The following is a 24,079-nucleotide window of genomic DNA, read 5'->3' as shown; positions in this document are numbered from 1 at the left end:
ATAGATTGGTCTGATCAATAATTTGTCCACCTATTAATATCTTAGAAGTGTTAATAAGGCATTCGCCTAGTTGGTAGTTGGGGGGATTATCTGTAGATTTTCAGTATGGCAGGAGAGGGGAAAAAATAGGAGAAGAAAGTGGCCAGGCATTAGGGGAATGTACCTGGCCTCTGTTTTGGAGGCACATCAGGGCTTTTATATGTTAACTTCAGCCCACATACGTGTTCACATTATTTCCATTCCTTGGCCTTGGAAAGCACCAGAGGTGGTTTTTTCTAGGACAGTAGAGTATATGGGATAAAAGGAAACCCCTTGTAGTCATAAACCTTTAAGAGATTGGCACTGGGAGCTGGAATGCCTGGGTTTTAAATCCAGGTTCTGCCATTTACTAGTTGTGTGGCTTTGAGGAAGTTCTTTCTGTGTCTTAGTTTCCTCATCTGTGGATAATAATATCTATATCATAAGAATTAAATGAGTTAATAGATAGAAAGTGCTTAAAACGTGCCTGGCACATGAGAAGTGCTATAAAAGTGTTTGCTGCTGCTTATATTATTATTCCCTCTGCTCGCCAAGGTGAGAGCACTGTTGGCCAGAGCCCATTGCCTTTTCAGGCTTCAAAGAGCAAACCCAGATTGATCTGAAACCAGTACTGCAGGTTTCAGAATTTCAGGGCCTCCTCTTGCATTTTTATTCCCTCATCTTTTAAAATGAACTTTCTAAACAGAGCTCTGAAACCCAGCTGTTTAAAAAGGCATGTGAGCTGTGACTGGGCTTCAGGAACAATTAAGGGTCGCCACTGTTTCTCTTGCCCATCTCAAAGTGATGTAACGCTCAGGGCTCTGCAGTTATCTCCCCACCACACATCCTGCTGTGTTCTTGACAAGATATATTAGACCTCGTGAAAAGGGTTATGGTGTAAAGAGCAGGATTTGCCTTCTGCAACCATTCATCATAAGGTATGTCTTCGTAAAATGAGGAATGGCTTCATTTTTATGAACCTGGGCTAGGAGTGAGGAAGGCTGAAGAGAGTGGAGAGAAAAATGAAAGATAACTCTAAAAAAGCTAAGAGCCATTATTGGGTAGTAGAAACCTAAGATAAACTTCTCACTGCAATTCTCCCTTAAATTAAATTCTCTTTTGTGTCTTAATGTCAGTTAGAGGCCGCTGACTTTTATACTCTTCCAGGACCATGATGAAGGACAAAATAGGACTAGGAGGTGAATTGTTCTGGGTTCCAGTCTTACCTATCTTGTTTAGCGTGTCTGTCTGTATGTCCCTAAAATGAAGATAATGTTTCATCTAGGTTTGCAAATTATTTCTCCAGTGGACCAGCCCCACTGGGACCAGCTGGGTGCTAGGGAAGCTAAATACTGCCTTGGAACCTCCTCTGACCACCAGAACCTTCTTTAACCAGGGATTGGCAGTTATGGTCTACAGGCCATATCTGGCCCTGGGCCTATTTTTGTAAATAAAGTTTTATTGGAACCAGCCACACTGCTTCATTTAAATATTGTCTAGGGCTGCTTTTGTGCTGTCGGTGGTGGAGTGAAGAGTTGTGATAAAGACTGTAGGGCTCACAAAGCCTAAAATATTTACTATATGTCACTTTACAGAAAAGTTTGCCAACTCTTGTCTCAAACAGTGTACCTGTTTTTCCTATATAAAGATCAGTTTCAAATGTGTGTAATATAAACCTCAGAAAATTCTAAGGGGGTAAAGAAAACGAACAAGCCTGTAGTCCCACTCTATTTTAAGGCAAAAGAAAAGAAGGTCACCTGCTTCCAGTCAGTTCTCAATCTTTGTAGAACATCATCATGTGTGAATCCAGCCTCTCCACCCCCACCATTGTCAGGTGATGTGTTCAGTAGACATAAGCTAATTTGAATTTATATAAAAGCTTAACTGTTAGGCAAATTTGCCCCCTCTCCTCTCTTAACCCATTTCCCCCAACCTGACAACCCAAAACTGCGGTGAACACATTTCAAAATCAGATGGAAATTACTTTAGGCTTATCTCCTGTTTTGAATTTTTCTCATTACCTTTTATTTTTGTGAACAGATTATGAAGAGCTGGCAGTAGTCATGGTTGCCCTAAAATATTGGCTTCCCCATGGGGATATAAGAAGGGTAATTTATATCAAATGTCGATTAGGTTCCCCAGGATGGCTGTTTCGTGAATACGAGGCTGCAGTGCTTATATTATTAAATTGTTAAACTCCTTTCTTTGCAATGCTTTGAAAACTTATTTCTTGGGGGATAGGTGTTTAGATAGGTCTGGAACCATAAAAAGGAGGTTGCATATTAGAGACCCTAAGAGAAAGCCCTCAGCAAACTGGTCCGTGTGGCTACTGGTGCCAGAAACAGCCTGGAGATTAGAAGAGATTTCCAACCGTTCTATGCCAAGGCATCATCTTGCTATAATGAGGCCTGGGGGTGCAGTTAAAACCCTTTAAGAGCTACAATTCCCCTTCTAAAACCTGTGATTGAGGCAGCTTCTGTTTGGGAAGCATTAAAACACCAGACACTTCCTAGCCCAACACTGCTAACTGTTGCTTTTGACAGCTTTGCCAGCACCAGGCACATACATGGTCAGCAAAATGCACTGCTGAAGCATCTGGCTCTTAAATGTTATCACCAGTGATGACATCCTTGAATTTGGGGACTAGCTGCTTAACTGCTTTATCTCTTTGGTACCCAAAGGAGTGTGAGTCCATGTGTTCTTCGGTATTTTGGATAGCAAAGGATTATATAGTACGAGAAGGTCTCACTTATATAACATAGAGCTAAGAGATCTTAAACCATTTGAGGTCAGTGTCAGAGGGGTGAGAACAACAGTGGGCTGTGATGGCAAGAGGACTTTGTTCTCTCACATTCTAGACATAGATAGATCTTTAGAAAGTTGCAAGCAGTAATGCAAAACTTTCATAGTGATGGTGCTAATTTGGGTGTTACCACAGTGGTTGGTGGGCTTTAATAGCCAAGAGAACACTATGCCTTTATTTTCTGCTGAATTCAGTTTATTTTGAATGGTGTGATGGGCATCAGGGCCACACTATTCCTTGATCTTAGAAGAACTGTTAGAGCATCTTCCTCCAGATTCTTAGATGACTCACATAGAGCCTTCCTGCTAAAGGATTCAGGCTTTTGGGTGTGGCATCTTCTGAGGGGCAGGTCTGGTTATGGAGTTCTTACTGACACTATCACGTTTGACTCTAGCTCAAGTGTTCTGACTAGACCTGCCTGGGCTTACCGTTACTCCACAGACAGTTTGGAGCCCTTTTATTTTATTTATTTATTTATTTATTTATTTATTTATTTATTTATTTTATTTTTTTTTTTTTTTGAGACAGTCTCGCTTTGTCACCCAGGATGGAGCGCAATGGCACGATCTCGGCTCACTGCAACCTCCGCCTCCCAGGTTCAAGCAGTTCTCCTGCCTCAGCCTCCCAAGTAGCTGGGACCACAGGTGCCCACCACCATACCCGGCTAATTTTTGTATTTTTAGTAGAGACGGGGTTTCACCATATTGGCCAGGCTGGTCTCAAACTCCTGACCTTGTGATCCACCCGCCTCAGCCTCCCAAAGTGCTGGGATTACAGGCGTGAGCCACCGCACCCGGCCTATTTATTTTTTGGAGACGGACTCTCACTCTGTCACCCAGGCTGGAGTGCAATGGCATGATCTCGGCTCATGGCAACCTCCACCTTCAGATTCAAGCGCTTCTCCTGCCTCAGCTTCCCAAGTAGCTGGGATTACAGGCACGCACCACCATGCCCAGCTAATTTTTTTGTATTTTTATTAGAGACGGGGGTTTCACCATGTTGGCCAGGCTGGTCTCCAACATCTGACCTCAGGTGATCCACCTGCCTTGGCCACCCAAAGTGCTGGGATTACAGGCGTGAGCCACCACACCTGGCCCTGGAGCCCTTTTAAAGCAGTGGAAAGGAAAACTTTGGGTGTCGCTCCCAGTTCAGAGCAAAGGTAGATGCTCACTAGAGAGTGAGTTAGTGAGAGTGGACAGTCTCTTCTTGGGTTAGTAAGCTCTGCCATCCTTTGAGATGCATGTTACCCTTCTTTGTCACAGAAGTGGGAACAGGGAAGAGTGGAAGCAAAGAAAGGATGGGTGGGAAATCTGGTCAGTTTCCCCCCTTCGTCTAGGTTCAATCTTCACAGAGGGCTCCATTATTTGGTTTGCAGGGTATGAATTAACCAAACATTAGCCAAATCTACTCACATTATTAGGTCAAAAACAAATCCTGATCTCAGGGAAGAGTTGTGGATGATATTTGAAATTTCTAAGTTATCTGTGCCCCCATTTTCTCCAGTCGTGTGGAGCTCATGAAGGGGCCGTTGTTGTTGGCAACAGCTGGATGGTGGGAGGTTCTCGTAACAGCTGGCTGCTAGTGTTCGGGCTCAGCTTGTGGTCCCCACCAAACCTCCTGGTTTGGAAAACTCTGCCTGGCACTGTGCTTTCCCCTCAGGGTCACTACAAAGCTGAATGCCAAGCCTTGCAGTCATTTAAATGCTTCCCCTCAGGCCCACATATGCCTTGATCGACCCTTACTGTGTGGGAGCACTGCAGCTAATCAAGGGTGGCTTTAATGAACTTAAAAGAATGCTATCCAAGTATTTCATAATAGAAAAACTTCAAGTCCAGGCCCTGGGGGACCTGGAACTGAAGTCCAGGCCATGTACAGACATTTACCCTGCCCTGCTCAGGCATACAGGTTTGTGGATTTGCTCAGGAGCCCCCGAGAGTTGCTGGGGGGGTGGAGGACAGATGGAGTGCCTTTAGCTCAGCTCTGCCTACACATTAGCAGTTTGAGCTCCCAGCTCCCCAATAAAAGGGGTGGAGGCTGGGGGAGGCCTGGGAAGACTCGGAGGGTTTTGGTTGCTCTGAAGCAGCTGGCCTGTGATCAAGGGTTGAGGAGTTTTCTCTCAGAGACTGTCTGAATGTGGCTTCTTAGAGGATGGATGGTATTTGACAGAACAAAGCTGTAGGTTTGGGGTGCCTCCTCTTTCTCTCTCTCTTTTTTTTTTTTTTTTTTGAGGCAGAGTCTCATTCTATAGCTCAAGCTGGAGTGCAGTGGCGTGATCTCAGCTCACTGAAACCTCCACCTCTCTGGGTTCAAGCAATTCTCCTGCCTCAGCCTCGCAAATAGCTGGGACTACACAAGTGTGCCACCACGCCCAGATAATTGCTGTATTTTTAGTAGAGATAGGGTTTTACCATGTTGGCCAGTCTGGTCTCGAACTCCTGACCTCAAGTGATCCCCCTGCCTTGGCCTCCCAAAGTGCTGCGATTACAGGTGTGAACCACCACGCCTGGCCTTTGTCTCTTTTTTTTTTTTTTTGAGAGATGGGGTCTTGCTTCATCACCCAGGTTGGAATCCAGTAATGCCATCATAGCTCACTATAGCATCCTGGGCTCAAGCCATCCACGGGGTGCCTCCTTTCTGACTCTGAACTCTCTATCTTGTAAATGAAGGATCACTTTTCCAGGGAAGCCATGTTTGTTAGGGGGCAGCCTAGTTCACCCCGAGCTCTGCCACTTGAGTCTCTTATTATCTGATCCTAAATGAAGACATGCAGGAGAGCACCAAGGTATTACCTCCTCAAAGGTCAAAGGAAGGATTAATGTGCAACTCTAAAAGTAGATTGCTAACACATCCATAAGTGAATAAAATATAAATTCAAGCTGGAGTAGGCAAAGAATGAAGAAATACTCAGTGTTTGGTGAGGTTAATTAGAGAAAACTACTGGGATGTTTTGAATAGGCTTTAAAAAAAAAGTGTCAATATATTATTCTCCCTAAGGTTAAATTAAGTTTTTACTCTCTCCTTTCCTTTCCCTTTCAAAAGTGACATTGTTTCGCCTTGTCTAGTCAGCTATATTCCTTATTTTTCTCAAACCTCTTGAGTCCCTTCTGCCGTATACTGGAAATTGTGTGCCTGCCTTTTTAAGAGTAGGCACCTCACGTTTCAAGTTCAAGTGCAATGGAACTCACCCTGCAGCTTGAACAGATTTGAGTGTTTTTGCAGAGGGAGGACCAGGGCAGATGGGGAGTGTCATGCTCAATAAATACTTGTTGGATTGAGTTGCTGGGAAGGCAGCAGAGTGGGGAGAGTAAGCCACACCTCCCCCAGGCTCACTCAGAATGGTCTTTCCCACTTCTGGTCCCCACATACTGTTCCCCCTCTATAATACCTCTCTTCAGCTACTTACAAGGCAAAACCCCCCGAAGTGTTAGTATTCTCTCTTTCTTTAAATCACTGGTCTCCTATTCATCCTGGTCATTGGGCTTGAAGCCCAGTTGGTGGCAAAGACGTGGCATTTCCATAGATGTCATTGCTAGGCCTGTAGGTTCTTTTCCCAACACACTTATAGCTAGAGGGTGAGCTTGGGCAGTTACCAGGTCGATCCATGGAAACAGCCAATGTGTAGGATTTTGTTATGATTTTGTTAAAAAGCCAGACTGCCTGGCTTTAGGCTTTGAAGTGGATATGGTGAGAGGCCAAGGAGACCAAGATGAATGCTAACTGTCTTTTCACTCCAGGTAGATTTTTGCCAACTTCCTAGTAGTGTTCTGTGTAGCAAGAAGATGGAGGAAAACAAAATCTGGATCAGTGGCTTTTCTAGGCCAAGGAGGAGAATTATCTGTTGGCCCTAGGATGGCTTCAGAGGTGTGATCAGGCTGAAAGCGCCCCTCTCCCAAGCCAGCCACCATCCTGTGATAGCAGGCACTGCTATTTCTTCTCCCACCAACCACCAGATAGGGAAGTGCAAGAAAGAGATGCTTGTTACCACTTCGCAGGCCCTGGACACTTACACTGTTGTCCACAGAGTCTGTGTTCCTTGCCTTGAAGGCTGCCAACCATGTGTCTGGTGGCTTAGTGAAAATGGCTTTTTTTTTTTTTTTTTTTTTTGAGACGGAGTTTCACTTTTGTTGCCCAGGCTGGAGTGCAATGGTGCGATCTCGGCTCACCACAACCTCCACCTCCCGGGTTCAAGCGATTCTCCTGCCTCAGCCTCTCGAGTAGCTGGGATTACAGGCATGTACCACCATGCCCAGCTATTTTTGTATTTTTAGTAGAGATGGGGTTTCTGCATGTTGGTCAGGCTGGTCTCGAACTCCCGACCTCAGGTAATCCACCCGCCTTGGCCTCCCAAAGGGCTGGGATTACAGGTGTGAGCCACTGCACCTGGCCGAAAACGGCTGTTTTAACCTGCCCAGCTGGGTGTAAGTTTGAACAGAGTGAAAATGTGATTGGGAGCATAGGCAGCTTCTCTTATCCCCTCTTCCCTCCCCTTCTTCTCCTCTCTACCCCACACTCCCTTCCCTTTAAGAGTTTGCTGTGCTTGGCCGGGCACGGTGGCTCACGCCTGTAATCCTAGCACTTTGGGAGGCTGAGGCGGGTGGATCATGACGTCAGGAGATCGAGACCATCATGGCTAACACAGTGAAACCCTGTCTCTACTAAAAATACAAAAAATTAGCCGGGCGTGGTGGTGGGCTCCTGTAGTCCCAGCTACTTGGGAGGCTGAGGCAGGAGAATGGTGTGAACCCGGGAGACAGAGCTTGCAGTGCGCCGAGATGGCGCCACTACACTCCAGCCTGGGTGACAGAGCGAGACTCCATCTCGAAAAAAAAAAAAAGAGTTTGCTGTGCTCTGTGCATGTCTGGTCGCCCACGTGGCTTTGGGAAAACCACTCCTGATAACACGTGCACTCCCTGCCCCACAGCTGCAGGCTGGTGGAAAACTTGCCACACAGCCCCTGTTTGGGGATTGTCTTCTTAACTCCTGCCCATCAGATATGACATAAGCCAGGGGTGGGGTTGGGGTGGGAGTGGATAGCATTTGGCATGATAGAGGGGATGCAGCCAGAGGGCTTTCACAATATGACATAGTCTGGATTTAGCAACTGGGGAGAGAAGGGCTATGTGAACCACATCCATGGGGGGTGTGCACATCTTAATGCTGAGAGCAGCATCTGGACTCTTTCTTATTGGAATCTGGAGTAGTTCCGTGTTCACAGAGGAAGACAAAAACAGTTGCTTCTGTAGAAAGAAAGAGTCTCTGAATCTCAACTCTAAGAGGCCCAAAAATTCACCTGTATTTTTCAGGGAAATGGAGAATATAGATAGCATTAGGTTTTTTGTTTGTTTGTTTGTTTGTTTTTGAGACAGAGTCTCACTCTGTTACCCAGGCTGGAGTGCAGTGGCACAATCTCTGCTGACTGCAACCTCCACCTCCCAGGTTCAAGTGATTCTCCTGCCTCAGCCTCCCAAGTAGCTAATTTTTTTATTTGTGATAGAAACGGGGTTTCACCATGTTGGCCAGGCTGGTCTCGAACTCCTGACCTCAGGTGGTCCAACCGCCCCAGCCTCCCAAAGTGCTGGGATTACAGGCGTGAGCCACCGTGCCTGGCCTTCATTAGTTTTGACAATATGTTCCATTTGTTTAGCTCTGTGGTGCTTCTGATGGGAACTCTCAAATGTTTTCGTGCATCTTCACAACAGTCCTGCAGGTGCAGGTGGCATTTCATTGTTTTTGCAGATAAGGAAACTGAGGCCCAGAAAGGAAGTTCTTGTCCAACACCAAATGACTAATAAACCCCTTTTGCTTAATTAGGCAAAGGGCATTTCCCACATATGCAGAAAAAGTCCGTTGTGAATTTTGTCTCAGGCTGGCATCCACTGCCACCTGCCCAGCACACCTCCAGCATTTGTTTCTTCTATGTTTATATACCTGTATTCCAGGAGCAAAGATTCATTTGTTAAGCTAAGCAAAAGAGAATTGGGGCCGGGTGTGGTGGCTCACACCTGTAATCCCAGCACTTTGGGAGGCCGAGGCGGGCAGATCACTTGAGGTCAGGAGTTTGAGACTAGCCTGGCCAACATGGTGAAACCCCATCTCTACTAAAACTACAAAAATTAGCAGGGTGTGGTGACACCTTCCTTTAGTCCCAGCTACTCGGAAGGCTAAGGTAGGGGAATCACTTGAGTCCAGAGGCGAAGGTTGCAGTGAGCTAAGACTGCACCACTGCCCTCCAGCCTGGGTGACATAGTGAGACTCTGTCTCAAAAAAAAAAAAAAAGAATTGGAAACTGGGCTGCAAAGAAGTCCGTTTCTTCCTTTAGCACCCCAAGGTGACTATCCACACCATAAATACTCACTTGGTGTGAGTAGTTGGAAGATGATGGTTACTATTAATACATTATTATGTGTGTGATATGGTGGCGGCTTTTGAGTGTTTCCAGCTGGTTTGAGATATGCCATTTCCATGTAGAATGAGTGGCTAACCAGGGACAGATAGGACATAGGAGGCAGACCAGATTTTTCTGCCTCTGTGGGGTGGTCATGGTTACTGAGCTTGGGGCAAGGCCATGTTAGGGAGACATGCGAAGATGGATCTTACAGGAAAAGGATTCTTATGTGTGATGATGTGAAACCCAGAAAAGCACCTGGGAATACATGTGGGTGATGCGTTCCTATGGCAGGGGTGGGGGTAGATGCAAGTGGCATTGTGCCATAATAGCTTAGTCCTCTCTGTAAGGGACCCCTGGTGTAACCATCCCCCTACTTCTAGTGGGAAAGAAGCCTGGGGGGCGCAGGATCTGTCTGAGCATGTCTCCCTCTCCTAGCTTTAGGTTAACTGAAAGTGGAGTCATTGTAATGTATGATAGTGCTCTTCCGAGACAGGCATGTGCCCAGTAAGGGAAATAGCAAGGCCTTAAACTCTGGGAGAAAGCTCCATCTAGGGACTATGTATCACGGATAATTGACTTCTTGGAGGTTATCTAACCCTCCCAAGTAGATTACAAGCCACTCTTACCTCCAAAGCATACTCTGTATAGAATTTTTTTTTTTAATAGAGATGGGATCTCACTATGTTGCTCAGGCTGGTCTCAAACTCCTGGGCTCAAGTGATCCTCCTGCCTCAGCCTCCCAAAGTGCTGGGATTGCAGGCGTGAGCCATTGCATCTGGCCTAGAAGTCTTTTTTTTTTTTTTTTTTTTTTGAGATGGAGTCTCACTCTGTTGCCCAGACTGGAGTGCAGTGGTGCAATCTTGGCTCACTGCAACCTCCATCTCCCGGGTTCAAGCAATTCTCCTGCCTCAGCCTCCTGAGTAGCTGGGATTACAGACACCCGCCACCATGCCGGCTAATTTTTTTGTATTTTTAGTAGAGACAGGGTTTCACCATTATTGGCCAGGCTGGTCTCAAACTCCTGACCTTGTGATCTGCCCACCTCAGCCTCCCCAAGTGCTGGGATTACAGACGTGAGCCACTGTGCGTGGCCCAGAAGTCTTTAATATTCTAATAACCATATGCTGTGTGAAACCTTTCTTTCTTGTTTGTTTATTTATTTATTTATTTATTTTTGAGACCGAGTCTCACTCTGTTGCCAGGCTGGAGTATAGTGGTGCAATCTCGTCTCACTGCAACCTCTGCCTCCCTGGTTCAAGCGATTCTCCTGCCTCAGCCTCCCGAGTAGCTGGGACCACAGGCGCATGCCACCATGCCCAGCTAATTTTTGTATTTCTTAGTAGAAATGGGGTTTCACCATGTTGACCAGGATGGTCTCGATCTCTTGACCTCGTGATCCACCTGCCTGGGCCTCCCAAAGTGTTGGGATTACAGGTGTGAGCCAGCGCGCCCGGCTTTTTTTTTTTTTTTTTTTTGGAGACAGATTTTGCTCTTGTTGCCCAGACTGAGTGCAATGGCGTGGTCTCACCTCACTGCAACTTCCGCCTCCTGGGTTCAAGCGATTCTTCTGCCTCAGCCTCCCAAGTAGCTGGGATTACAGGCACACACCACCACACCAGGCTAATTTTTGTGCTTTTAGTAGAGACAGGGTTTTGCCATGTTGGCCAGGCTGGTTTTAAACTCCTGACCTCAGGTGATCCGCCTGCCTCGGCCCCCCAAAGTGCTGGGATTATAGGCGTGCGCCATTGTACCCAGCCGAAACCTTTCTTTCCTACTTATTTCCCAACTTCACAAGGTAAAATCCCATTACAACAAATATTACAAAAATGCTTCTGTATGATAAAGCTGTTTCCATGGTTCATATAAATGCTTTGTTGTTTTTTGTGGGGTTTGTTGTTTTTAAAAAAGTAGTAACTAATAATCTTATATACCAAGCACTTTTTCTGGTACCTGTTCGTGTAATAGCTCATCTTTTTTTGAGATGGAGTTTTGCTCTTGTTGCCCAGGCTGGAGTGCAGTGGCACAATCTTGGCTCACTGAAACCTCTGCCTCCTGGGTTCAAGCGATGCTCCTGTCTCAGCCTCCCAAGTAGCTGAATTACAGGTGCCTGCCACCATGCCGGGCTAATTTTTGTATTTTTAGTAGAGATGGGGGGTTTCACCATGTTGGCCAGGCTGGTCTCGAACTCCTGACCTCAGGTGATCTGCCTGCCTTGGCCTCCCAAAGTGCTGGGATTACAGGCGTGAGCCACCATGCCCGGCCAGTAATAGCTCATCTCTAAAGCAGGAACACCTGAGTGCTTGCTGTTTGCATTGTTGGCAAAGAAAAAGGAACAGAGCTGTGGAACCATCACCAAATAGCATGCCTCCTTCGCTTTCTCTTCATCTTGATCCTCCCCTCCTCCAGTAGTTCCCTGTTCTTTTCAAATAGAACACCACACAAGGAAACTCAATGAAGGAAAGTGTGTGTGTGTGTGTCTGCATGTGAGTATCTGTCTTGCGTGTGGACATGTGGGCGTGTTTGAGCATGTGTAAGAAAAAGTGCATGTGAAGAAAGCAAACAGTAAAGCAAATGGGGCAGCTGTTAATAGGCGAATCTGTGTAAAGATTATATGAGTGTTCTATGTACTGTTCTTATTCTTGCATCTATAAATTTGAAGTTATTTCCAAAGAAGATACTTAACACATGGATATATGTGAGACTAATTTGACTGCACTAGGAGTTCTCTGGAATGGAAATTTTCTTCTACATCCTGATAACATATCTTACTCTCCCCATTTAACAGATGGAACAACTGACACCCAGAGAAGTTAAGTGATCAGTCTGAGTTCACATAGCACATTGGGGTGGAAGCAGGATGTGAGCCCAGGTATTGACCGTTATAGTAGGCCACCTCTTAGGAGACCATAGCTGGTCCTTACTACTCTAGCTGGACCAGGTTGGCATCAGATTCTGAGAGCTGATTGGGTGCCCACTGCCGTGTGTCCCAGCCCAGTCCACGCCTCACATTGACCCAGCAGTGGAGTCAGCAGGGTTGCAGCTATATATATGCTGAAGCACACTGAGCATATTCAGGATGGCCAGGAACTTTCTAGAGAAAGTGCTTCCTTAGACTAAGAAACACTCTCACTGTGTTCTGCCCTCAACAATCTCCATTTTTTTTTTTTTTTTTTTTTTTTGAGACGGAGTCTTGCTCTGTCACCAGGCTAGAGTACAGTGGCGCGATCTCGGCTCACTGCAACTTCTGCCTCCCAGATTCAGGCGATTCTCCTGCCTCAGCCTCTCGAGTAGCTGGGACTACAGGCGCGTGCCACCATGCCCGGCTAATTTTTTGTGTATTTTAGTAGAGATGGGGTTTCACCATGTTGGCCAGGATGGTCTTGATCTCCTGACCTTGTGATCCGCCCACCTTGCCTCCCAAAGTGCTGGGATTACAGGTGTGAGCCACTGCGCCTGGCCTTCATTTCTTAAAATACATGAAAATGGAAGGCCCTGCTGCACCAGAGCCATGAGGGACTATTACCTCATATATATATAGTCGAGATCTGAGGGAAAAAGGAGTGGGTTTGGTTTACAAAGTGATGCCAGGTATACGCCTAGGCCAGAGAGCTTTCTTCTGCTACGTACCAGTCGATTGTTTGTACCCACCGCCTTGTGAGTGAGCAGGTTGCGTGGTTCAGTGCAGCACATTGTATCAAGTAGGTCAGGAGTTACAACTTCATGCACAAAGAGATGGCTCATTTTTAGTCAGTGAAAACCTTTCATTAACCACAGGGCCCAAGGAGGGGTGGATCTGGTAATCATTGCTAAGCAGACAGAGCTAGAGGTTCAGACACTGCCGCTTGTGTGCCGGCCCCTTTCCTCTCACACCAAACCACATGTTATGCACCTGTTTGTACTCCTTGAAGGCCCTTGAATTATTCTTGTCATTTTTGCTTACTGATGTTTTCCCCCAGCTGTCAGAGTTGGGGGTAAGTGAATGAATGTGTCCCACTCAAATTCTTAACATAGAGAAAACATTTTCCTGAAAATCTTTAGTTTTAGAGTGCATCCTTTATCTGAAATGCCTACCTGTAGGTACCTTAGACTTAATTAATCCTGACCATGGTTAAGTTGTCATCAAAATATTTTTTTTCAGGGGCCCAGCTAGTTGTATGAAATAGATCCATGAGCACTTACTATATTGTTACCCCAGCTTATATACTTAGATTTTTTGTCCTTAGGCAGTGATGAAGTTATACACACTGCCCCCACCATTCTCTTGATTCCTCAGGCTCTTTCCTCCTCTAACGTAAGTTTCCGGTAGTGGCCAACCAGAATCAGGGCAAGATGCAGGAGGATGCGAAGAGGCTGCCCTCAAATTCCTGTTGGGTTGTCTGAAGCTTAGAGGTGTGTGTTGGAGCTGCTGTGCAAATGGCAATGCTGTCTGCTCAGAGAGGACCATCATAACTGAGCCTGGACCTTCTAGTTCTTGGAGGTTTGGTTAGGACTTATTGGTAATTAATGTACCAATGTTTCCCTGGATCAATTTTTTGCTTCATGAGGTTAAGCCTTTTTACTTAAGTATAAAAGAAGGTGACATTACTGTTAAGCATCCCTGATTTCAGAACAGATCTAAAGCCCATCATATACAGGGGAAGAGGCTATAACTTACCTTCCAGTGGTGTTGCCACCCACTCCTCTGCATCTGGAAGCACAGGAGAGGCGACCTCATAAGTATCCTTCTGATATGAAGCTGTCAGCATATATTGAGGGTAGGAGGAATCTTTCCAATGTGATATCTTCAACACTCTTTCTGGAAGGGCCATCTAATCTTGCTTTTCAGACTAGGTTTACCCTGGAGGCACTACATAACCTTTGAGCTTCCCTTAGGAAATCTGAACAACCAGCAAGACCAGGGCTTCAAAACAAGGTCTGCCCTGGAATGTTGCCCAGTGCACTTTGGGGTTCTTTCACAGCTAGAGCTCAGCATGGGAATTTGCCACTGATTTGAGGTTTGTTCCAAAATATCAGGGCCCGGGCAGGGAACCACTAGATGGGATGTTGTGGTCTCTAAGGTATCTCCCCTTTTTGAAGCTGGGGGCATGAAGTAGATAGAGCTTGACTAAGGAGTTGGAGATGATCAGAGAAGACTTTCTGCAAGTGGGTTGAGATGGTTCACACAGATTTTCAAGGATGCGGGGGGTAGAGAAGAACAACTCTACTAGGATCTTTGATCCTGAAGGCAGAGCAAATTCTATTACTGTGACCTTTCTAGCCCTGAGGAACTTGAATAGTTCCTTATAAGTGCCCCCCAACTTCCTCCCCATAGCCCAGAGCAAAATGAATCAGTCAGGGTTAGGAGCAGAGGGTCCTGACAGAGTCCAACCTAGTGAGCTGTAGCGAGAGAGCAAACCTGCCCTCTGAGTGTTCATGTCTACTTGATGGTTACTCCCAGCTTGCCCAGTCATGTGACCAGACTTCTGCTTGTGGCTAGCCACAGGTAAACTGAGTGCTATTTATATTCTCCTGTGTGGTAGAGGAGGTGGGAGAGATCATCTGGGAGCCCACAACACAGCTGTTTGATCAGCCTAGGTAAGGCAAATCTTCCTTTGAATTTGTGCCTTTTTTTTTTTCTACTTATCTTGCCCCAAGTAATAGCATGGGTTCTGAGCTTTCAATTTAGCTGATTGATCAGTAGCCATCTCTTATTTACCCTTTAATAGTTGGGGAATTCTAGAACTAGAGGAGGCCCAAACTCATCTGCGTACAGTTTCCTGTCTTCAAGGGTAAATAACTGAGACAGCTGGGGACGTGTAATGATCTCTTCCTGGGGCTGTTCAGAGGCGGATTCTAGCCACCCTCATTCAACCTTTTATCTATCTAGCTAGACTCCCTCTTATTCTAACTAAAGCCTTTTTACTGTCCTTCATGTTTGCACCTGCAAGGAAGACTACCGATAAATTCTAATTCATTTTCCTTCCCCCTTGGGATCAAGCTACCCTCCGTTTAGCTGTTTTTACCTCTGTCTCTGGGATCTCTCTGGTTTCTGCATTCCTTTTGAAGAGCAATCATGACAAATGGATGCCGAGGGGCCACTTGGCTGTGTATATCTGAGGTTATATCCCACTCCAGCCATGTTTCTGGACTTATAGGAAGCTCTTAATTCTGCCTATAGTCTTGGTCTTGCTCCTGGGATGACATGACACTTCTTAATTTAGTTTAGTGTCTCTTTCACTTAGTATCTTGATTCTACCTTGCATTAACTTACATCTTGTGAGTTTCAGTTCCTTGCCTCAGCCTTATCCATGCTTTTATTCCTTGCCTACCTTCAGTCCCCCAAATTAGAAGTCTAGTGACCCAGTTGAATTTGGCTATAACCTGCCAATGTTGAAATGCTAAAGGGTTTAGGTCCTTTCTGAGGAGTGATTTGAATTTGTCTTCCTAAATGAAGCCAGTATTTTTTTTTTCTTACAACTTTATTTTGGAAAATTTCAAACCTACAGAAAAGTTAGAAGCACAATGTCTACCTATTTATCTTTCACCTAGACTCATTGATAACTTTTGCCACAATGGTCTTATCTCTCTTTTCTCCTTCTGTTTATGTATATGTGTGTCTAGACATACCCACATATGCACATATATACATCCATATGCACTTTTTTGGGTGCACAATTTGACAGTAAGTTGCAAATATCATGACATTTGTCACTTCATAACAGTGGCATCTCCTGAGAATAAAAACATCCTTCTCCATAATCATAATACCATCATTATACCTAATGAAATGACATCATCTATGAGGTTGGTACAAAAGTAATTGTGGCTTTGCCAAAGGCAAAAATGGACTAGAGATGTCATTTAGTCCATTTTCAAATTTCCCCTTTGATGGCTCTTTTGTTTTTGATCAGAACCCAGCCAAAGTCCCCTTTTGGTTATGTCTGTTTTAAAAGTCTCTCAATCTGGAACTACTTCCCATTCCTGTTTCTTTGTTTTGCTGTATTTGTTTTTTGAGACTAACATTTTGAAAACATGTCAATTGTCTCTGGTTGTCCCACACTGGATTTTTCTGTTTCCTCATGGTGGTATCTAACTTGCTCCTCTATCCCCTGTATTTCCTGTAAATGGGAAGTTAGATCTGGGGCCTGATTAGATTCAGGTTAAACATTTCTGACAAGAACATCTCATGGATAAAGCTATGTACTTCATAAAATGTCACTTTAGGAGATACATAATGCCAGAATGTCCACTGCTAGTCAGGCTCAGTTGGATCACTTGAGGTGGTATGGTAGCCCCCAGGCTATAAAAGTACATTATTCTCTTTGTAAGTGGTTTCTGGATAATACTTTGGGATTATATAAATCTTCTGTTCCCTATGACCTTTGGCCCAGTGGTGTTGGCATCTGTTGACAACTCTTCCTGATAGAGATATTACTCTGGGAGTTGCATAAAGCCAGTTCTGAATTAACACTAATAGATGTGAGTGTTGACATGAGCAGTTCAAAAGAAGAATAACCAAAAAATTGTCTTTTGGCCTTTGAAATCACTGGAGGGAAGGCAACAAAATGGGGCCATCAAATTCTGTCAACGTTTGTAGGTTTTTAACTTGAGTATCAGTTGCTAAAACATATACCATCAGCCCTCTGTATCTGTGGGTTCTGTATCTGTGAGTTCTACCAACTGAGTATTAAAAATACTTGGAAAAAATTGTACAGACTTATTTTTTCTTGTGTGTGTGTGTGTTTTTTTTTTTTTTTTTTTTGAGACAGAGTCTCGCTCTGTCTCCCAGGCTGGAGTGCAGTGATGCGATCACAGCTCACTGCAGCTTTGACTTCCTTGGCTCAAGCAATCTTCACACCTCAGCCTCCAGAGTAGTTGGGCCTACAGGCACATACCACCAAATTTTAAAATTGTTTAAATTTTTTGTAGAGATCTGGTCTCTTTATATTGCACAGGCTGGTCTCAAACTCCTGGGCTCAAGTGATCCTCCTGCCCCAGTCTCCCAAAGTGCTGGGATGACAGGTGTGAGCCACCATGCCTGGTTTCTTGTCTTGTCATTATTTCTTAAATAATACAGTACGACAACTATTTATATAGCATTTACATTATATTAGGTATTATAAGTAATCTAGAGAGAAAGTGTGGGATTGCAGGGAGGCCAGGCAAGGTGACTCACACCTATAATCCCAGCACTTTGGGAGGCCAAGGCAGGAGAATCGCTTGAGCCCAGGAGTTCAAGACCAGCCTAGGCAACATAGGGAGATCCTGTCTTTACAAAAAATTTAGAAATTAGCTAGGCAAAGTAGTTCTCACCTGTTGTCCCAGCTACCCGGGAGGCTGAGGTGGGTCATGCCTGTAATCCCAGCACTTTGCAAGGCCAAGGATGGAGAATCACTTGAGCCCAGGAGTTTGAGGTTGCAATGAACTATGATCATGCCACTGTACTCCAGCCTGGGCAACAGAGCAAAAACCTGAATCAAAAGAAAAATAAATAAACAAATAATAAAGTATTCGGGAGGATGTGCATAGGTCATATGAAAATACTACACTATTTTATATGAGGGACTTGAGCATCCATAGCTTTTGGTATCTGCAGGAGGTCCTGAAACCAATCCCCCATGGATACCGAGTGATGACTGTATGCTGCTGTCTGGCAGTTTGTTTTAAGTTAGGGAGAAGGCAAGCTGAATGGAGCCAAAAATAAGTCATGGTTTGTTCATAAAGCAGAAATTATTTTGATTATCCGAAAGTTATCTCTAATCCTGTTCTGATTTCCTTTTCCTTCTTTCACTTGCTTTCTACCTTCCTCACTGGAAAAGGGACGCCCCCCCCAACCTTTTTTTTTTTAAGACAGGGTCTCACTGTCACCCAGGCTGGAGTGTAGTGGCACAATCATAGCTCACTGCAGCCTCAACCTCTCGGGCTCAAGCAGTCCTCTCAACCTCAGCCTCCCAAGTAGCTGGGACTAACAGGCATGTCGTGCCACCATGCTAGCTAATAAAACATTTTTTCTTTTTTGTTTTTATTTTTTATTTTTTTATTTTTTTGAGACAGAGTCTCACTCTGTTGCCCAGGCTGGAGTGCAGTGGCACGATCTCGGCTCACTGCAAGCTCCACCTCCCGGGTTCATGCCATTCTCCTGCCTCAGCCTCCCAAGTAGCTGGGACTACAGGCACCCGCCACCATGCCCAGCTAATGTTTTGGTATTTTAGTAGAGACGGGGTTTCACTGTGTTAGCCAGGATGGTCTTCATCTCCTGACCTCGTGATCCGCCCGCCTCAGCCTCCCAGAGTGCTGGGATTACAGGCGTGAGCCACTGTGCCTGGCCTTTTTTTTCTTTTTTTTGGAGGTGGAGTCTCGCTATGTTGCCCAGGTCGGTCTCAAGCTCCTGGACTCAAGTGATTCTCCTGCCTTGGCCTCCCAAAGTTCTGGACTTACTGGTAGGAACCACCACTCCTGGCCAATCCCTGATTTTTAAATTGTTCTCTTCCTACCTTGGCCCACCCAACATGCCCAATGGGTATACTAGTGTTCCTGAGACCCAGGTGTGATCATCCTGGTTTCTAGCAAGGGAAAGGAATAGACCCTTCCAACCCACGGAGTAGTTCCTGAACCAAGGGTGCCAGGAGGTCATGACATAGTTGAGTCTGATAACAAAACACAGGGTAGGAAATGTACTTTCAGAAATCTTCTGTTTGGGTAATAAAAGGTCTCAGTTTTTTCTATGACCTTGGAGAAATCAGTTCACCTGTCTACATGGGGGTGTGTCATAGGCCCTGCATCACCTTGGAAGCTCAGCCCTCTCTTCCATAAGAGAATTCATGAGCTTGTGGGGGTGCACATACCCATAACAGAAATCAGAGTACAGTTTCAATCATGGTTGTCCTCTTGTAGGATTTTTTGTCTTTGAACTTCCCTAATGTTTGTTTTTCCTTCACCTTACTTAAAACACTACCTAAGAGCTGACTGGGCTTCATGATTTCTTTCCTACTTGATGGAAATCAGATTCCTGTGAGAAGTGAAGATTCAAAGGGTTTATGCCTGTCCTTTGAGTTTAAAACAGCCCTCCAGAAACCCATCACTCCCAAATAACCATGGAGTAAGGATTTTTTTTTTTAGAGATAGGGGCTAGGCTATGTGCTATTTATGCTATTCTTGCAAAGGCCATGTAGATCCCAAAGGAAAGTATGTTCCAATCAGTAACTGCTAGTGTTTTGTTTTAAGGATGTTGAAATCCTGCAGAACTCCTCTTCAGAGAATTCAGATAAAAGGTGAAAAGTTCACACCACTTCCTTTTCTTCTAACTGCAGCTTAAGAATTGAACAAATGTCTAAGTAACTGCTGTCTACTCTTTTTATATACACACATAGACTTTGGGTTCACCCTTTTTCTCCTTACTGTTACAAAGAGCCAATGTATTCCTTATTTTTTTTCCCACAATGACATCTCCAGAAGGGTTTCTCTTGGCCTGTCTCTCCAGCTGCCTACAGATATGGTCTGCATCTTGGGAAGTCGGACACACAGCCAGAAATGCTTTCAGTGGCTCTCACTTAAGCTGTACACTTAAATATGGAGTCAGTAATTAATTGAGAGCCTGGCTGAGAAGTTTTTCATGTGTGTACAAATATCGTCGCTCCTTTTTTCATTTGGGGTAGTCTTATTGGTAGGGATAACATGGGATATTATCATTTTTCTTCTTTCTTTCTAATGTAGTTTCTTTAGTTTCTTCTACCTGTTAAGGATAGCTATTGAAAGAAGTGTTGTTTAAAGAAGTGTTTGCAGCTCCAGATTTAATTTTTTCAGCTGGGATGGATGGGGTCTCCTTGGGCTTTCCAAGGAGGGCTTCTAACTCTTGTACAGTCATATTGGAAATTTCAGTTTCGCCACAACTTCCCCACAAAACCCACCCATCCCTAGTTAAGCAGTTAAGCAGCACTGGACCACAGGGAGCTCAGAAGACGGCCTGCCCTGTTTAATCCCAACAAATGTGCTGAAATAGAAAAATAATCCCTGTGAGGCTGCTAGGAGGAACTTCCCGTGCTTACTGCAAACCTGTTATTGGGGAAATGTTTAGAAATTCTGAATTCCTGTTTTACTTTGCTCTTCTAACTCCAGATTAACATTTCCCTCTAACAGAAATGCTGTATCACAACTAGGACAGGACAGGACAGGATCTGTTCCTCCTGTGTCTAACCACACTGCTCTGACCCTGCCTGCTTCTCCTCCTTAAGTGAAGATCACTGACTGAAAAAAAACAGGTTGTAGAAAAGCATGTATAATATGACCTCATTTTACTAAAAATACATATGCAGGCTCGTGCATGGAGAGAGATCAGGATTGGTGAGCAAAGTGGTGATCTCTGAGTGCGGGCATGCATAGTTGGTCATTTTCAGTTTTTGTTTATCTGCATTTTCTTCTTCTAACATGTGCATAGTTTCTGTTATAAGTTATTTTCTCTTTAAGGGGAGAGGTGAGATCAAAAAATCAAAAATAAAAACAAAAAACAGGGGAAATGAGAAGACTAGTGCTAATAATGCTTCAAGTCTTGATGCCATGAGAAAATGACTCATAACTTGTTTGTTGAACCAGCTAGTTGTTGAGTTTTTGCCATGTGTAAGATCTCGTTGGCTGCCTCTCTCATTTTCCTTCTGTAGTCCTTCTTGGGTATTTTGGGATAACTACGATGGGTGGAGAGTAGCCCTGTCTTTATTTCACAGGCTTTTCTCTCCTATATCACCCCAAAGATAGTGAAATAAGTGGAGCACGTCCCCTAGATGCCCAGAACCCACTGGTCAGGGGCTTGTTTCCCCTTGTAAAGTGCTAAGCCTCTACCCCACAGTCTATCTCTGGTCACGCTGAGAAGAGCAGCCACAATGCCTCAGTTCCTGCATTATCTACTGTCTTTCCTCTAATGCCATTCCTGCCCTTCTTCTAAGAGCTGTCACCCTTCTCCTTTAGGTACCTGTTGGGGAGATATGCTGGTGTGGCCAGGCCTGAGCTGATTTTCAGCAAGGGATATTGGGAATAGCAGAGACAAATTGGTGGTCCTTCTGAAAAAGCATTTCCTGGGGGAGTATCCCCTGGGGGTCTTGCCTGGTAGCCTGGCACTTAGAGAGAATTTGCATCAGCCTTGCTCACTTCAATCTCATCAGCAGGTTCTTGTCTTACTCCTCCAGTGTTTATCACAGACAGATGGCTCGTAGTGAGTGCTCAAAATCTGCTTACCAGGCTGGGTGCAGTGGCTCACGCCTGTAATCCCAGCACTTTGGGAGGACAAGGTGGGCGGATCACAAGGTCAGAAGATCAAGACCATCCTGGCTAACACGGTGAAACCCCGTCTCTACTAAAAATACAAAAAATTAGCCGGGCGCGGTGGTGGGCGCCTGTAGTCCCAGCTACTCGGGAGGCTGAGGCAGGAGAATGGCGTGAACCCGGGAGGCGGAGCTTGCAATGAGCGCCGAGATCGCGCCACTGCACTCCAGCCTGAGGGACAGAGTGAGACTCCCTCTCAAAAAAAAAAAAAAAATCTGCTTACCAAAGGCATCAGTCTGCTGCAGTGTGCCAGGCCCATCTTTTGCTCTTGGTTCATTGTCTTATCTGCCGTTTGTGTGCCTTCTGCCATGTTGACTTTCCCCCAACAGGCAGATACTTGACCGCTGGCCCTCTCCACTCATAGCTCCCTCTCTCTAAAGCCATCCTAGTGTAGCAGTTGTGAGACAGGACCAAGTGGCTCTGGAAGATAGCACCTAAGGCTTCTTATCTCCTGTGTGTGCTGTTTTGTTTTGTTTTTTCCATTTGCCGTTGCTCAAGAACCAAAGCATCCGCCACTGCTCAGCTGCATGGTGAAATGGCCTGGCCTGGTGCCAGGGTGCTTCACCAGGTGGTTGGGCTGTGGAGGCTGCTGCATGTGATGGGCTGATAATACCCCACGGTGCTGTAAACAGGACACTCCACCCTCCTGCAGCCACCCAGCCAGTGCCCCAACAGCCTGCTGCTTTGTCATGGCCTGTCATGATATGGGCTTCTCTTCTCTGATAGGGAAGCCTATTGTCGTATTTCCCTCCCCTATTTCCTAAATCTGAGAGGGGTACTTTCCAGAAATGAAACCAGTTCATCTTCCAACCACAAGCAACCGTTGTGACTTCTCAATGCTGCTTCTCCTTTAACAATAATCACACAAGTGCAGGGCAGAACCCGATGCCCAGATCTTTCCGGTATGCCCATGGAGGATAAACCCAAGAGCCTCTATCTCAACTAGGCTCACCTAGAAGATTTCTTAGGGGACGTTCTCTATTGAGGTCAATCTCATTGGGCAGCAGAACTTAAGTGTTGACCTGAAGCTGCTGATGCTCCGGTCTGCAAGCAGCTTTGTATTCTACCCTGCATCACTTATTCCTGGGTTAGACTGTCACTAGTAAAGGAAAGGGCTTTGACATTAAAAATGGGCATCTTCCCAGGGGCCCAGGAGAGTGTAGGCCTACGGATAGAGGGGCTAGGGCTTACTCTGCACGTCTTTGGGTAGTCTCCTCTTTCCGGACTCCTTCACCTACACCTTCAATCCTAAAGGACATGAATTGATTTGACATAATCTTTCTAACTAAGGCTTTAAAGTGTATTTGCATCTCTTCATAACATCCCTCAGAGGTAACTTAGGCCAGAGGGAGAGCCAGCCCAGTGAGGCTGGGTGGCGTTGGCTGTAGTCAGACCTACCCTCCCCACCTCTTAGCTCCTACTAGATATCTGGGGTGGCCATGCTGCACCAGCCTGCAGCCCCTTCAAGGGTGGCACGAGACATGTCATTGTCTCATTTTGGCTTTGGTTTGTGTTGCATTTGGGGGAAGTTTGACACCTTGGTTTAGCCCTTAACCAATTTTGATGTCCAAAGAAGCAGGTGCTTACCAAACCACTTGCGATGAGGTTTGTGAAATAAGTGGTAGTTTTTTTTAAACTATTAAAATCTAATTTTTAAAAAAAGTCCCCTCCCTTATTTCCTAGGCTTAAAGGAAATATGGTATTTTCGTCTCCTCAAAAGAGCTGGGACATGCCAAGAATTTGGAGAGTTGGGAGGGTAGTGGACCTTGCTAAGGGTTCTGAGACAGAAGGTAATTCTGTCATCTCATGGCCAGTGAGGCGCTGTGCCAGCACCCTGTGCCAGGATGTGGCCTCTGTGGAAATAAGGCTGAGGCCCAGCTGTCTCTTCATTTAAGGAAAAGAAACTGAGGCAAGTCCTCCTGTTTGATTTAGATGTAGTAAGATCCTTGCATATCTGCCAGGGGAGAGGGAGTCAGGGGCTGCAGATTCTGGATTGGGGGTTCCTTGGTTTCTCCTCAATCCTTTCCCCTCCCTCCTTTTTTCCCCTTTTTATTTCTTTTCTGCTATTTGTGTGACATTTTTTTGTATATGGAGGAACAAGTCAGGACCCACTGAGTCCTGAGTCTTAATGGATAACTGGTCAGAGGGAGCCGGAAAGAATGTAGAGTTTACCAAAATGCGTTGGTTGGATTCTCACATCACATTCCAGGAATTTGGGTGCTCCCCAGCCCTGTGAGTACTGGGAGCAAAGTACCACCTATGATTATTGTCCTAGAGATTGGATTCATTGAATAGGGTAGGATATGAAGAGTGATGGAAACCAATATAAAATGGGTTAAAGTTATCCCTAGGAGATAATAGAGTCCTTTACTTCAAGTTTCAAAGGCTTCCTCAAGAAACAAACAAAAGCAAAACAAAAAATAGGTCATTGGAGACAATAGGATTGGGCCTGCCATCTCCTCCATTAGGTGCTAAAAAGAAGCTATTAATACAAAAGCAATTCATCCTCCAGGTGTCTAGGCAGGTGTCCCAGCAGCCTCAGAGGGTGTCCCTGATAGAAGAGGGATGTGAGCCTCAGT

The 24,079-nt window shown here is 45.3% G+C and overlaps 1 protein-coding gene across 3 annotated transcripts in view, besides 1 other annotated feature; it reads left to right on the top strand.

Annotated features, from left to right (window-relative positions):
* Positions 1-24,079, top strand: part of FAM117A (family with sequence similarity 117 member A) — a 78,779-nt gene that overhangs the window by 27,147 nt on the left and 27,553 nt on the right. The window contains exon 1 of one of the 3 annotated variants that reach the window (NM_001411126.1): positions 14,736-14,783. The exons of the other annotated variants lie outside the window; for them this stretch is intronic. The gene's annotated coding sequence lies outside the window, so the exon portion shown is untranslated. Of the gene's footprint in view, positions 1-14,735; positions 14,784-24,079 lie in introns of those variants that run through there. 3 annotated transcript variants of the gene reach the window in all.
* Positions 21,897-21,986: an enhancer, noted in NCBI's record as "active region_12370". NCBI's record gives its function as "activates an Ori minimal core promoter by ATAC-STARR-seq in GM12878 lymphoblastoid cells {active_cell/tissue: GM12878}" and the evidence as "EXISTENCE:reporter gene assay evidence [ECO:0000049][PMID:35858748]".

Source organism: Homo sapiens, chromosome 17, assembly GCF_000001405.40.
Source record: "Homo sapiens chromosome 17, GRCh38.p14 Primary Assembly".
Classification (NCBI taxonomy): domain Eukaryota; kingdom Metazoa; phylum Chordata; class Mammalia; order Primates; family Hominidae; genus Homo; species Homo sapiens.
The sequence above is the reverse complement of the archived record's forward strand: the minus strand, read 5'-3'. Positions and strand labels throughout refer to the sequence as shown.